This window comes from Homo sapiens, chromosome X, assembly GCF_000001405.40.
Source record: "Homo sapiens chromosome X, GRCh38.p14 Primary Assembly".
In the NCBI taxonomy this organism is placed as follows: Eukaryota; Metazoa; Chordata; class Mammalia; order Primates; family Hominidae; genus Homo; species Homo sapiens.
This window is the reverse complement of record NC_000023.11, coordinates 16,998,367-17,014,364: the sequence shown is the minus strand read 5'-3', so window position 1 is coordinate 17,014,364 and position 15,998 is coordinate 16,998,367. Positions and strand designations below refer to the sequence as shown.

General features: G+C 41.4%; 1 protein-coding gene across 17 annotated transcripts in view; it reads right to left on the bottom strand.

The window, feature by feature from the left end:
* The window catches only part of REPS2 (RALBP1 associated Eps domain containing 2), a 249,998-nt gene that overhangs the window by 182,291 nt on the left and 51,709 nt on the right, over window positions 1–15,998 (bottom strand). For all 17 annotated transcript variants that reach the window (XM_017029956.3, XM_011545603.3, XM_011545606.3 and 14 more), the window contains exon 2: window positions 8,021–8,144. In XM_017029956.3, coding sequence (XP_016885445.1) covers window positions 8,021–8,144 — 124 coding nt within the window. The remainder of the gene's footprint in view (window positions 1–8,020; window positions 8,145–15,998) is intronic.

The following is a 15,998-nucleotide window of genomic DNA, read 5'->3' as shown; positions in this document are numbered from 1 at the left end:
ATGGTGGATAAGTTCAATTTCCTGGCCATACCACGGGTAGAACCCCAGGAGTGAGTTAGGAGGTCCACAATCCACTGGGCTCTGCTGCTAGCAAGCAGCATCCCTTTTATTTTACCTCTTTGGCCTTCAATTTCCCCACTATGCATCTTCCAACTTACCTCCTCTATATCCATCCCATACACTGCATTTCTCTGGAAGAAGGGCTCTTCACTGGGCTCCATGAACCAGCTCTAGGGGTCCAGAAACCCCTGACATTGAAGGCAACATTTTTTACATAATGTCAATGTGTATTTTCCTGCTAAGATCCAGAGCTTTTACTAGATTGTCAAAGAATCCCACAACAAAGATTTTTACAAATAAGGTGAAAATCCACAGCTCAAAAGGTTGGGGAGAACCTTTGGGGAGGAGCAACAATAGAGCTAATGACAGCGCTATGGGGTAGAGGGACAGACCCCTAGAAAACACAAATGTCCAGCCGTACAGTCAGTGAACCTGCATAGGCGAACTTTGTCCAAAGCAGCTCTGTGTCCCTGTAGCAGGGCTGGGAGAGGGGGTAAAGGAAATTGACAAAGGAACACTGAGGAAAAAAAAGGAAAGGGGGATTGGGTTGGACGTCAGTCAGAAAGGATGAGTTGACCTTAGCTTAATGAGACATCCCAACATAGTATTTAGTGTTCAAAATACAGAGACACTGTGTGGACACACACACACACACACACACACACACACACACACACACAGAGCCAGCTACAACCTTACCTCCTGGGCTTCTTTCTTTACCCTTGGGCTTCCTATCCTGTCTTTTCTATGAATTACCAAACTGGTTGTCACACTCAAAAGATTTCTCTCCTAGCCCTAAGAGATAGGGAGGGTTTGTCAAATAGGCAAAGCACAGGGAACCCCACCCTCAATTCAACCAGAGAATAACTGCTTTTATTTTTCCTTGAATAAAATAATTCTTCTTTGAAAACAAAAGCCACAGAAATAGGACTCAATGCTGCAAAATCCTTCTACCTTTCTTGTATGATTAAAAAAACAAAAAAACTAACTAGAGCACAGGAAGCAAGGCAGCAGGATTAGAGTTCCTAAGTCTTGATCCTTATTTTACAGAAGGCTTTCTCAGTCTCAACATTACTGGCATTTTAGATTAGATAAGTTTGTTGTTGTTGGAAGAGGGGGTCCTGTCCTCTGCAGTGTAGGGTGTTGAGCAGCATCCCTGGCCTCTACCGGCTAGATGCCAGGCAGTCCCCTTCCGCAGCTGGGACAACCAAAAATGTCTCCTCACCTTGCCGAAAGTCCCTAAAGGGACGAAATCACCTAGGTGGAGAACAACTGTTTTGCAGATAAGGGAGGAGTCAAAGGGAATTCAATGATTTGCCTCAGTATCTTCTTGGCAGTAGAATCGTGACCACAACAGTGGCTCACAAATTTGGGGATTTCACAAAATAGGAAAAATCTCTCCCCCAACAACAACAAAAAAAGAAATGAAGAAAGCCAACATAAAGTTGCCAATGTTTTATCTCGTCAAGAATTTTACCCCAAACTATTACCCATTAGCAGTTTCACAAAGGACACTTAACAAGAGGAACCAAAAAAAACCCAATCTTAGATTTGAATACATTTAGCTTTATAAATAACTCATCCTTTTGTCCTAATTCTAAACTGTGCCAGACTGCAACCAGACCATAAACCAGTTTGGGGAACACAGCCCCAAAGACTACATGAATCATGTCATTGCACCATCAGAGTTCACAGGCTCCCAAAGGGACTAGTGAAAAGAAATCACGGGGTCTGTCACCTTGATTAGGAAAAAAAAAAAAATTACAACTTCATTTTCCCTACTATAACTGAAATTTAGCATTTCTTTCCATTATGAATGTAGGCAACAAGCCACTGTATTATCACTAGCAATACCGGTAACTTTGTCACCTATCACATTAGGGTTTTGTTTGTTGTTGTTGTTGTTGTTGTTGTTGTTGTTGTTTTGAGATGGCATCTCGCTCTGTCGCCCAGGCTAGAGTGCAATGGCGTGATCTTGGCTCACTGCAACCTCCGCCTCCCGGGTTCAAGTGATTCTCCTGCCTCAGCCTCCTGAGTAGCTGGGACTACAGGTGTGTGTCACCACGCCCAGCTAATTTTTTTCTATTTTAGTAGAGACGGGGTTTCACCATGTTGGCCAGGATGGTCTCAATCTCTTGACCTCGTGATCCACCCTCCTCGGCCTCCCAAAGTGCTAGGATTACAGGCATGAGCCACCATGCCGGGCCAACATCTTGAAGTACTGTTTATGCATATTACTAATTTGAAAAAGTAGTGGTTATTTCAAACACTGTTAGATGCTTTATTTAATGCATTAATAAAGAAGCATATATGTTTTGGGGGTTGGTTTTTTTTTTTTTTTTTGAGATATAGTCTCACTCTGTTGCCCAGGCTGGAGTGCAGTGGCACAATCTCGACTCACTGCAACCTCCACCTCCTGGGTTTAAGCTAGTCTCCTGCCTCAGCCTCCTGAGTAGCAGGGATTACAGGCATGTGCCACTACACCCGGCTAATTTTTGTATTTTTAGTAGAGACAAGGTTTCACCATGCTGGCCAGGCTGGTCTCGAACTTAGTAGAGACAAGGTTTCACCACATTTGCCGGGCTGGTCCCGAACTCCTGGCCTCAAGTGATCCGCCCACCTCGGCCTCCCAAAGTGCTGGGATTACAGGCATGAGAAACTGTGCCAGGCCTAGAAGCATGTATGTTGTTATATAACAATTTAACTATTTTAGTGATTATTTCAGTATAATTGGTTTCCATTATAATCTTATGTCTTTGTTGCATTTAAAACATAATTCTGAGAAAGGGCCCACAGGCTTCAGACTGCCAAAGGGGCTCCTGGCACAAAAATGATGAGAAACCCTACTCTAGGTTCTGCCTAACCTTCCCTCAGTCCTCACACGTGCTCAACTTCAGACCCTGGAAAGAAAGGTAACAGCAGGTCCCAGGGCAAATGTTCACCACATGATTTCCTCATCAGAAATTCTCTACCAGTCCTTAATTTTCACCTTCTTTCCTTCTGCCCTAGCTGTTTTGCCATCTGTTTAACCCCAACTCAGACGAGGGTGGGGCTAGAGAGATACCTAGTGCCAACATTTAAGGAGGCACGCACTCTCAGGGTGGTGTAAATGTAGAGTCGGCACTTGCCCTGAGAGTAAGTGCCCCCTTAAATCATGTGCCCTGTGTCGTACAGCACCCTAGTTCAGATGCAGCTACTGTAACTACACACACACACACACACACACACACACACACACACACACACAGTTTAAGCAAAGCTCTTAAAAATGCTTGATGCAGCTTTTATTCTTAAACATGTCTCCATACAAAAATCACCTGGAGAGCTGTTAAAAATTCTGATGCTCAGACCGGACTGCAGATATATGAAATTAGAATTTCTGGAGATGGACCCAGGCATCTGTATTTTTTTATTTTATATTTAAAGCTCTCCAGGTGGTTCTCAAGTGCCGACAAGGTTGAAAATCAGTGCCTAAGAAAGATGATATGCAGACTGAGATGACTTCTGTAAAAACTCCTCTGGAGTTCCAGGAGAATCTGAATTCCAATCGTTTTAGATTAAAGAGTGGCAGATGATTAAGACACCCTCCTCATGCGTAGACATGCACCTCTTCATTCATTCATTCAACCAATACACACAGAGTGCCTATAATGCCCCACAATGCAAGGGGTGTCAGATCCTCTTCCCTCCCCCTTACACAAACTGGACAAGTGAGGAAGACAGACAAAAAAAATAGTGAAACCTGTAAGGAATATTTGCAAACTCTGCTAAGTGCTATCAGGAAACAGATGCTGGGAAAGAACAAAGTGGGGAGGAGATTGCCCTGCAGAAGCATTACCCAGCAGGCCCACCCAAGGATCACCTCACTTCCTAGGGATATGGACTTCTGCTCTGAGTTACTGTTTACTCTTGGTTGGGCATTTGATAATCCTGAAAGGGTAGATATTAACTTGGAAAAAACTGTTAGCTAACAAGTAATTCTTGTCTGACGGCAATGCAAATACTTTCATCTTAGAAAAAAGTACAATAGCCAGGCTGCACTTGTATTACCCCGTAGGGCGTTAATTAGCTTTATACCTAATTTAGCAATTCTATTCCAGCATCCTTTCTTTCTATGACTATAAATAAATCTGACTCTCTATACTTTCTTGAGCCAGTTTTACCATATGCTGGTTCCTTCATGAATTAATGAATCTGACAGAACTACTTTAGGTAGGATAGTAGGGACAGACTCTGAATCCTGAAGGTTGGGAAGGAGCCAACCAGGGGAAGCAGAAAGGAAAAACAGATCCCTAGGAACCCAAGACTGCAAGATAAAATGGACATATGGCCTGCAGCAGGAAAAGTCACCCAGAAATGGCTAGAAGGCCACTGAGACTGGGGAACAGGTAGTGAGCAAGGGTTTAAGATTTGAGATGAGGATGGAAAAGTAGGCAAGAACTAGATTGTGTAGGGTGTTACAGATCAGTGTAGGGACTTTGAATGTTTTACAAAGTACAACAAGCAGACTACTGGAGGGTTTAAAGGATGAGGATGGAATAATCTGCTGTGTATTTTGAAAAGATCACACTTTCAAAAGTAGGAAAAGAGGCTGGGTATGGTGGCTCATTCCTATAATCCCAGCACTTTGGGAGGCTGACACAGGAGAGTCACTTGAGCTCAGCAGTTTGAGACCAGCCTGGGAAACATAACAAGACCCCCATCTCTACAAAAAGACATATATACTAGCCAGGCATGGTGATGTATGCCTGTAGTCTCAGCTACGCAGGAAGATCATTTGAGCCTGGGAAGCAGAGGCTGTAACAAGCCGTGATCACACCACTGCACTCCAGCCTGGGTGACAGAGTGAGGCCCTGTCTCAAAAAAAAAAAGTTGGGAGGCTGCTGAGGCAGGCCAATCACTTGAGCTCAGTAGTTCAAGACCAGCCTGGGCAACATGGCAAAACCCCATCTCTACAAAAAATACAAAAATTAGTAGGATTAGTAGGGAGTGGTGGCGCATGCCTGTAGTCCCAGCTACTCGGGGCGCTGAGGTTGGAGGATCCCTTGCACCCAGGAAGTCAAGGCTGCAGTGAGCTGTGATCGTGCCACTGCACTCCAGCCTGGGTGACAGAGCGAGTCTCTGTCAAAAAACAAACAAACAAAAAACCAGTGGGAAAAGAGAGATCACAGTAGAGAAGAGAGGAGGGGCTAGGATGTCAATCCATTGTGGTGTCCAGGTAAGTAGATGAAGGTTGTCTGGTCTAGCAGGGACAAAGAGATAGAGGCAACAGGGAGTGAGATTGGAGCCACATTGCTAGGACTTTTGATGGATTCTATTAAGGAGTGAGGGAAAAGGAGGAATCCAGGATGGCTGCTGAGTTTCTGGCTTGTGCAGCTGAGGATGGTGGTGGCATTTACCGAAATGGGAAGGACTAGGGATTAGAGGGTCACGCACATACACACAGGTGCATGTTATTCATGACATAAGGGTATCCATCCACAACTCCCTGGGTATGATGCCCTGGGTGTGACAGGGCTAGCACAGCCTTTCAGATTAGGTTCTCACAGAGTGATCCCTTTGGCCTTCAAGATTTGTGTCATCAAGCATTAAGCTAATAGATTTCAAGCAACAAACTGGAAAATTCTAAGTGGCAGCTCAAAGTTTGGCCCAATCTTGCCCTAATTCTTATTCAACATATGCTAACTGCAAATAATTTTATTTAATCAATCTTTAAATGGATTAGTAGAGAGTGGTGAAGGAAGATAATTCAGAATTAACTCTGGACATATATAAACTCTCAGAGGTAAAAGGCAGCAACTGGGTTTATAAAATAAAACTGAGAAAGCCTTATATTTGTGATAAACTGTTAATCCTTTACACAAGTGATAACTTCAACAATCCTGCTCCCTGCCCTCAGGAAATTAAACTGTCAATCTGGGCACAAATCAGGTAAAAGACTTAGGTCTAACTTAAAATAAGTAACAAAAGTGTCAAAAGTTTATTCTGTATACAATAAAGCAGCTCTAACTTTTCCAGAAGATAAAATTGGAAGATACTATAATAAAGCTTAATGATCATTTACAATGGAATAAAAACTATCAGTGCCTACCACAAATCCAAATTCAGTGTGATGCAACTTTCAACTAATCAAAGCAAATGGCCGCTGTGTCTTGCAGCAATGAATACTAAGCCTGCCTGTCAAATGACACTCCATCAAGAAACCTATTTCAAAGAACAAAATTCTGTCATACCAAGAGATGCCTTTCAAGTCCAATATTTTTCCCATTCAGAAAATATTGTATAACAGATTACTGTCAGCATCTTACTAAATAGAAAAAATTGAGACAAGGCTATTTTGCATAGAAATTAAGAGCATGGGGACTGGAAGTAGATCCTGGCTCCAAATTCTACTAACCTTATATTCTTAGGTAAGTTACTCAACCTCCCTAAAGTTCAAATTTCCATACTTGTAAGATACGAACAACGGCAGCACCATAGTAGAGACCTGCAGTGTGCAGCCATAACCATAGTAGAGACTTGCAGTGTGCAGCCATAGTAGAGACTCGCAGTTGTCCTCTCCTTGCAGGCACAGGAGAGAATTGTGTTCTCCCACCTGCTCTGCACTGAAGCAGATTAATGTGACAAGTTCTGGCCAATGCAGTGTGGGCAGCAATAACTTCAGTCATGTCTGGGCCAAAGCATTTAACCGCTAGGGTGAGATACTCTTTCCCTGGTGTGGCGATTATGGGAACAGGTGTTGTGTTGGGAGGTGCCACAAGATAAAGCAGCCAGGATCACATGGTCACCACATAGAGGGCAGCTGCCCTGGAGGGTCACCCTGACCCACTGCAAAGTGGAAAACGAACCTCTGTCTGGTTGAGGCACTGAGATTGTGACATTTGTTATCGCAGCTTATCCTAAGCAATCAAACTGACACAAGTACCTAATTTAGTAGGGTGTCATGAGGATTAAATGAAAGTGTCTGGCACAAGCTAGCCCCCTGATAAAGATTAGCATGATGACTGCCACCTGCTAACGGTTAGTGTGAAGGGCTTGGTCTTCCACAGCCAGCCATCTATGGCAATCTTCTCGGCCATTTGGATTGTCCTACGAGGTTTCCATGGGCTCACCATAAATCCTGAATCCACTTGTATGTCTATCAGAGACTTCACAGGACAGGCATGAGCAGTTAAGAGGTTTTTAGTCTCAGAATGAGAAAAAGAAAAAAAGTTCCTACATACCTGTATGGACATATGAAAGTAATCTGTATCAAACTGAATTATCAGAGGACCTTGGCACACCCCTTGAATAATCACCTTTTTCATACAGATTTTTAAAACCAATCCTGAGGCAGCAGAAATACTGCTAATAGTTGGGGGTTTTGCTTTTTGTTTAAATTGTAGAAAGTGCTCAAGCATACAGTGGGTTGAGGGCAGGGATGGCAAGATGAGAAAATATTAAATCAGAACCTTAAGAAGATAAATTCATTCTGCCAAAATTTTGGTAGCACCCAAGTACTTACTAGCATCAGAACAGTGCTTTGGAAACTAAGAATTAAAGGCTGAGCACTGGCAGGTATGGGAAAGAGAAAAGGCATAGTTCCACTCAAACTCCCTTGTTACTCCTCTAACAGAGCCTTCAATAACATTATAGATACCTCAAGTGGAAAATTAAAGTCAATGTGATTATTTGCCACAGGCTCTAGAATTCCTGGCCCAATCTCTTCCTGCTAAAGAATAAAATCTATTTTAACTGCAAATCAGTTAAAATGAACTAATCTCAGGTTACTCTCAGAATTTTCCCCATTTAAAAAAGAAAGAAACTAAGCTACCTACCTGCCAAGTTTTCTTATTTTATTTTGCAGAAGAGTTGGAGGAAGCAAGGAGAAATTCCACAAAAGTTTAAACTCATTAAAAATGGTTCTCATAAATGAGCGACTCGCCATGGACAATAAAACATACAAATGTGAGATACTCACCACATTTAATACTCTCTATCCGTACCGGGAGGCCAGATTGTGCTGCAGCAATTAATTTCAGGGCAATGTAAAACTGTGTTGGACCAAAATAACCAACCCGCTTTGCACCACACAGTTCTGTGATCTGAGAACAGACAAGAAAAACAATGCTGAACACCCAATTTCACAACAGGAAAATGAGACAAGGTACATGATGAAATATCAAGGATTTCACCTAGTGGCTAACCAAAAAAGTCCCTTGAGAACCTCTGTGTGCCCACTGGTCAATTTCCTCTTCCTTCAGTTTACAGGGAGGTTTTTAATTCAGATTACTAAATTCTACCTATTCATGATGTTTCAGAAGTGAGCCACTGATTATTCCTCCTCTTCCAAAGAGAAAAATAAAGGTGACAAAGGATAGCTGTTGCTCTAGTTACAAAGGAGAGTGACTTTTTCAGGGAGTGGATTCTAATGTTCAAAGTCTAGAAAGTCACTGGGGTGAAAAGAGAACAGATTAGTCATTACCACTACTCATGGATTATTCTAGTTTATCTAAATTAAAAGTGAATTAATTATTTTTATAAAGTCCTCAGGCAAAACAATTTCCTAATCTTGGAAATTACATCTTGGGTGCTCAGTTCAGAGGAACAAAAAAGTTGTATATACACATTTTTCAAGACATTGTAATAATTGTCAGTTTCCATCCCATCACCTGGAACAACATCCTCCTCCCCACCTAGATTGAACTCAAATGTTACTTTTCTGTAGCTCCTTTCCCTGTCCCGATACAGTATGTTTTCCCAGTGTATTCTCAGAGTACTCTATCCAAGTATCTATTAATGTCCATCACATGATACAGTGTCTTAGACTTGCTTCAAAATAAAAGGGGGAAGGGAGGAGGTGGGGCACATGGGTGAAACAAGCATAACCAAGAGTTAGTAATTGTTGAAGTTTGGTAGTGGGTTCATGAGGGTTCAATATCCTATTCTTTGTACTTTTGAAAATCTCCATATTCAAGTTTTTTGTGACTATTTCCAAATGTATCACATTATAATTAATTATCTGTTTATCTCTGCCTCCCATTAAAATGTCTTCTCTTCAATGGCAGGGGGCAACTTCCATTCATCTCCTAGCATAAGGATAGGCACCCAAGATACAGTCAACAAATTCTCAATTAAGTGAATGAAACCTACCTCAAAAATAAAATGTCTCTGAATTTTATAATGTAGCCCTTATTGTGAATATATACATTACACATCTTAAGATACAGACTATCCCACACAAGGAAAAAAACACACCAACATTAGTGTAGTTCCAACATTGAGATAGTTGTCTTGCAAAATAACTCCTAATATTAAGAAATTGTAGGCCGGGCACAATGGCTCATGCCTATAACCTCAGCACTTTGGGAGGCCTCAAGGAAGATCGCTTGAGGCCAAGAGTTCAAGACTATGGGCAACATAGCAAGACCCTGTCTCTATTTTAAAAATAGAAAAAAAAAAAGACATTGTAATCCTTGGTATGTGAAAAAATAACAACTATATTTTCAGTGAGTGTTAATCTACTATCAAGTTAACTTTCAGTTGCTCCTTTACCATAACTACCACATGGAACTGGAAAGCTCTTTACTACAGGTAACTGAAATTGCTAGTAAAACATTTATGGTACTTGAAGACTAATACCTTAATCTGACATTAGTAAACAGCCTTATTTACCTTGAAATCTGTCCCTTGGTCCCATATCACCACTAGAATCATTGCTTTGGAGCCAAAGTAGAATATATACACATAAGTGAGTTAAGCCCATAGGTTACTTTCCTTGCTCTTTGTACACCAAACCTCCAAGAGACATACCAAGAACGTTCTGAAATAGTCAAGCCTCAAGGAAGAGAAAAGAATTATAAGCCTTTGGAACTTACACATGGACTTCTGAATCAAAAAAAAAAAAAAAAAGGTTAGTTCTGAAAGGTTTTTTTCATTCATCAAGGTTCAAAGTTTTCTAAGTTTAAAATCTCCATGGAAAAGCTGTAAGTTGTGGGTCGAAATGCTTAATGGTATCTAAAGAAAATAAGGTGAAAAAAAAAGTTTATCCCAGATACTCAATTAGTGGAGATATTTGATATAATTGATCCTTCAAACAATCCAAATCACTGGGCTTTCCTCAAAATAAAGGGGAAAAAAATGAAAAGATTCCACTCCTCTTCTTTAGTCTAAACTCCAAACCTGTAACACTCCCAGCTGGATCCAACTCCCAGCTGGATCCATCTTAGGTTACACATTGTGCAAATTCCTAATACAGAATAAGAACCTATGGAGTAGTGTTTTCTCAGGTGGAAGGCAAGAGATGAAAAAAAGAAATAGATTAAATCAACTTCCTTACAGCTTACGGATGTACACTAAATGGCTGGGATGCTGGATACAAATCAGAAAAATTCACCGACCATTTGGGAGAAATCTGAACAAAGTTCTGGAAGAAGGTTGAAGGCCACTAACATAGCTTCCCTCCTACCTAATTCTATAAGATTAGGCGACTGTGCTGAGTAACCATGTTCCAGTTTGCCTGAAATAATACTTTCTTTCCTGGCTGAAATGTAATACATTTTCAGAACTGTTCAAAGGTTTAAATAAGCTTCTCTCAAGTATTATTAAAGGTTTCCTTAGAAAGATTTGAAAATGTAAAAACTCCTAGTAGGAGGGGCTGGAAGAATTCTCCAAGAGCACCCCATTTTCTACTCTCCCTCTGCTGCAGCTAGCAAAATCCAGATTCTTTGCTCTCGCCTCGACTGTTTCAAGTCCTGTCTCCAGACTCACACACCTTCACACACCAGCTTCTACATTCCCTCCGTGACCTCTTATCAAAACCACATCACCCTCCAACTTCAAAGGGCTTCTGGGACTCTTCACGCCCTTCCTGTGAAACCAAGCATGGCTTCTGAGGCCCTCCTGTCTGGCCCAAACTACCTTTCCAACATCGTCATGTCTCTCTCCTCCCCACCCTACAGCTAATTAAGACTTTAGTCACACCAGATGCCCATTTCTTTGCCTGCCAGGCTCATTCTTCAAGTCACCTCAAGACCAACCTTATCTTTGAAACTGTAGTCAATTCCACATGGCATGTTCTCTGCATTCCCATAACACTTTTTACTAGCTTTCTAACACATCCCTAGCCTTGCAACACAGCACAATTGGTATTTTGATAATTATCTCCACTGTAGCCCATCTCCTTTCCCTATGCCCTAAGTGCCCAGCAGAAAGCGAGGGTATATTCTTATTATTTGTATCCCCCAGGACTCATACTTTACTATGCCTGCTATATGCTCAGTAGCTCAATAAATAAATGTTGAATTAGTCTTCACAGCCTGTTGCATCAGAATCTTTCTTCTTCCCCTCCATTTTTATTACTTTTACAAGTAGCTGCTAAATTGGCTTTAGTCATCTCACACCATATAGCCATAAGAGTTCCTGCAGGAATATAAGAGAATATTAATTTCTCTGTTCCCTTCCTGCTCAGCTAAGAGGGTACCGGTTAGGATCAAGGCATAAGGAAAGGCATCCACCATTCTTTATCCTGGCCCTAGCCCTCATAGCCCAGGAGAATACCTCAGTGATGCTCCAGCCAGTCAGAACTCCAGAGATGCACCTCCTACTCAGCACAGCCCCAGGAGGTGTCAACCCTCCCCAAGTGGGCAAACTCAGCAACAGAAATACAGAAGAGAATCTGAAGTACATGCTTACAAATTGTACCTCAGCCTCTCAGGGAACAGCTGAACACGCAGGTCAACCTCTATGCTGGGTTTTCCTTTCCCATTCATTTATACTGTAACATTCAAGAGAGACTTTCAGTCCAGAGGGACATGGGTGAGCTACTCAAGAAAACATGAACCCCCATATCTGATTACCCAACATTAGGCATTATAGTATATGCCTAAGCCAAATGACACTGCTAAAGAGAGGGCAGACAGGCAGTGCTGAGGTGTGATTTCAGAGAATCCTACTAAAACCTTAAAGTACTTGTTAGTTTAACAAGTTTTGGTTGGGCACCTCCCTATCAAAAGCAATGTGCTGAGTGCTATGCTAAGAACTGAGCAGCAATGCACAGAATCACCTATTCTACATACACACAAACTCACACACATTCTCTCTCTCCCTCCCTCCTTCCCTCCCATTTTGCCAAACCATCTGAAAAGTGGGTTACAGACACACCTCATGACACACCACCCCTAAGTACTTTACTATTCACCTTCTAAGAACAGGGATATTTTCGTACACCACCGCACCATCATCACCACACCCAAGGAAATCAACTTTAACACAATATTATCATACAACATGATATGGTTTGGCTGTGTCCTCACCCAAATCTCAACTTGAATTGTATCTCCCAGAATTCCCACGTGTGTGGGAGGGACTTGAACAATTAGGGGGAGGTAATTGAATCACGGGGATCGGTCTTTCCCATGCTATTCTTGTGATGGTGAACAAGTCTCATGAGATCTGGTGGGTTTATCAGGCGTTTCTGCCTTTGCTTCTTCCTCATTTTTCTCCTGCCACCACCATGTAAGAAGTGCCTTTTGCCTCCTGCCATGATTCTGAGGCTTCCCCAGGCATGTGGAACTGTAAGTCCAATTAAACCTCTTTTTCTTCCCAGTCTCGGATATGCCTTTATCAGCAGCGTGAAAATGGACTAACATACAACATATGGTCCACATTCACATTCCCTTGATTATCCAGAAAATGCCTACAGAGCTGAATTTTCTTTTCCTCATCCAGGATTTAGTCAATGTTCATGCACTGCATTTTTATCTCATTTTCCCTTAGTCTCCCCCTAATCTAGAACAATCCCCCTTGGTTCTTAATGACACTGAATCATTTAAGAATCCAGGCCAGTTGTCCTCAGAACATCCCATGTTTTGGATTTGTCTGTTTTATTGTGATTACATTAAAGTCAAAAGTTTCTGGCAAGAACACCACACAGGTGATACTGAGATATAGTGAGAGGTACACAGCAGTGAGGGGCACACAATGTCAGAACATCCCACCATTGGTACTGATTGCAAAGCTTGGTCATTTGATTAATGTGGTGACTGCCAGATCTCTTCATTGCAAAGCTATGTTTTTACATTGTACTTTAAGACCATGTGAGTGTTCTATCCCTTGAAAAGTCAGCTTTAAAATCAGTTAAATACTAATTTTCTAGGTAAGTCTAGCTAAATCATATCAGCATCTACAGAACTAGAATACTAATGCAAAATCACAAAGATGGGGGTAATATTTTTTCCATGAGATAGGTGTCATTACACTCAGTTTATACACAAATAAACCTTCCCAATTCAGAAAGTTAAGTGATATGTTCAAGGTCACAAATTCAGAGCCAGTACTCAAACCTACATGCATCCAGGTCCAAAGCTCATGGTCTTTCCATTACATCAGTGGTTGGAAAACTACCGCTCATGGGTCAAATCCAGCCCACTGCTTGGTTTTCTATGGCCCACAAGGAGAAAATAAATGGTATTTACAGATGAACATTTGCAATCGATTTGATGAAAGGGAACACTATTCTTTGAATCCCATTAAGCAAAATGTTATCCCCAAAGTAAGAATGCTGTTCTTCTTATGAGTAGACCTGTATTACCAAAAAAAAAAGTCCTCAGTTATTATGTTTTGAATTTTGTCAATAAAAAGCTTGTAGAAGTTTATTTTTTCTCTTGTTATAGAATTACCTATGTAATATCTTTGATTCTGTTTCTTGGCCTGCAAAGCCTAAAATACCAACTGACCCTTTCCAGAAAGAGTTACTAACCCCTGCCTAACAACATGCTACTTCCCTGGGCTATACTTTATATCCTTTCAGATACCCTCAGTAGCCATGTAGAAAGTGTATTTTCTTGAAATAATCAACTGCACTAGGTAAATGCCAACTTAAAGACTGCAAACACAGCCAGATGTGGAGGCCCGTGCCTGTAGTCCCAGCTACTTGGAAGGCTGAGACAAGAGGATCACTTGGGCCCAGGAGTCCGAGACCAGCCTGAGAAACATAGTGAGACCCTGTCTCTAAAAAAAATTTAATAAAAAATAGTGAACACTTCCATGAGAAGAAAACACATGTATTCACCTTCTTCCTCAGCCCCCATTTTTCACCCATTTATATACATTTGTTTAAATTTTTCAGGAGCTTTCAAACAGGAGCTTCCTATGTTACTATAAACTTTCATGGCAACCAACCAGAGCAATTGGATGCCATAGTTCAGATATTGGCAAAATCTATGCAATAGTTCACACACTAGAAATAAGATTTTGCTTTTTTTTTTTTTTTTTTTTTTGAGACGGAGTCTCGCTCTGTCGCCCAGGCTGGAGTGCAGTGGCGGGATCTCGGCTCACTGCAAGCTCCGCCTCCCGGGTTCACGCCATTCTCCTGCCTCAGCCTCCCAAGTAGCTGGGACTACAGGCGCCCGCCACTACGCCCGGCTAATTTTTTTGTATTTTTAGTAGAGACGGGGTTTCACCGTTTTAGCCGGGATGGTCTCGATCTCCTGACCTCGTGATCCGCCCGCCTCGGCCTCCCAAAGTGCTGGGATTACAGGCGTGAGCCACCGTGCCCGGCCAAGATTTTGCTTTTTTAAAAAGAAAAGGTATTATAATTCTTTAGAACCATTCTTTGAAAACATCTTTATGCATTTGTGAACACATAACAATCCAAGATGTAAGCTACTCCCACATTGCAAATCAATTTTGGAAGCAACATTATCTTTTAGATACCCCAAGATGCCATTTAATTTAGGGCTAGAAGGACTACAATAAACTATAAGCCAAATCCAGTCCAGATGCTAAATACAGTCTATATTGGCATAGGTTATGGCCCAGATCTGATTTGTCAGCATTCTTGGCCCAAGGCCCAAAACTCACCCCAGTAGCAGGGAACACTCAGCCTGCCACTCTGGCTCAGAAGGAATCTAAAAAAGGAAAAGACTCTGTGCAAAAAAAAAAAAAAAAAAAAAAAATCAGGAACATCACTAGTGGAAGCAAAAAATCAGTATAGCATCCAGAAACCATTTGGCAATATCCACAAGAATTACAATTTACCTTTTGATCTAGCAATTCCACTGCTAGAAATTTATATTCCATTTTACATTAGCAAAATGACACATGTATATGGTCATTAATACAGTATTGCCTAAGTCACAGACTAGAAAACTAGAAAACACTTAGAGGTCTACCATCTAAGATATTAGTTTAATCAATTGTGGTTGATCCATACAATGGAATTCTAAGCAGCTCTAGTGGACATTTGCCATATCTGTGACTGTCCATCATACTTTGAAAATTATTTCTCTATTTGCAAAAATTTCACCTATTACAAGTCCCACCTCCAAGTTTAAAAGTTGAGAATAAAATTCCTAGACTCTATTGAAGCTAAGATGCAAATGTGTCACCTAGTCACCACTAATCAGATACATCCACACCAGATTTTGCTTTAGAAGTGAGAAATGTAAGGAAAGAGGCTCTGCTCAGAGCTTCTACTTTTGCAGGTGTCACTGCTAGGTTGCCTTCCCGGTGCAGGAGTGGAGGTAGAGGCAGTTGCAGTCAAGTCAAATACCTAGCATCTGCTGTTCAGTGGAGGCAGCAGCACAGGTGGCTTCCACTTAATGCTAGTACTACGTGTGTCTTGGGGCTTTGTTTCTGGGCACCCGGATGCTAGCCTGTTCCTCCAGCCCTCCAAAGGATTCCATGAGTTACCTAAAATCCGAATCCCTTTTTGGCTTAACCATCTAGGGTGGATTCAGTTGTCTGCCATAAGAACCACCAACTAACAAAGAAGAAGCTCTTTATGTGCCAATACAGAAAAATCATCATGCTAAAGTGTGAAAAAGAAAAAAAGCAAGGTGCACAGAAAGCAGCTGATATAGTAGGTATCATTTCTTCTAAAATGGGGTTGAATATAGATGCATTTACTTATATTTTCATAAGCCATCTCCAGAAGTTGAAACTAACAAAATTGGCTT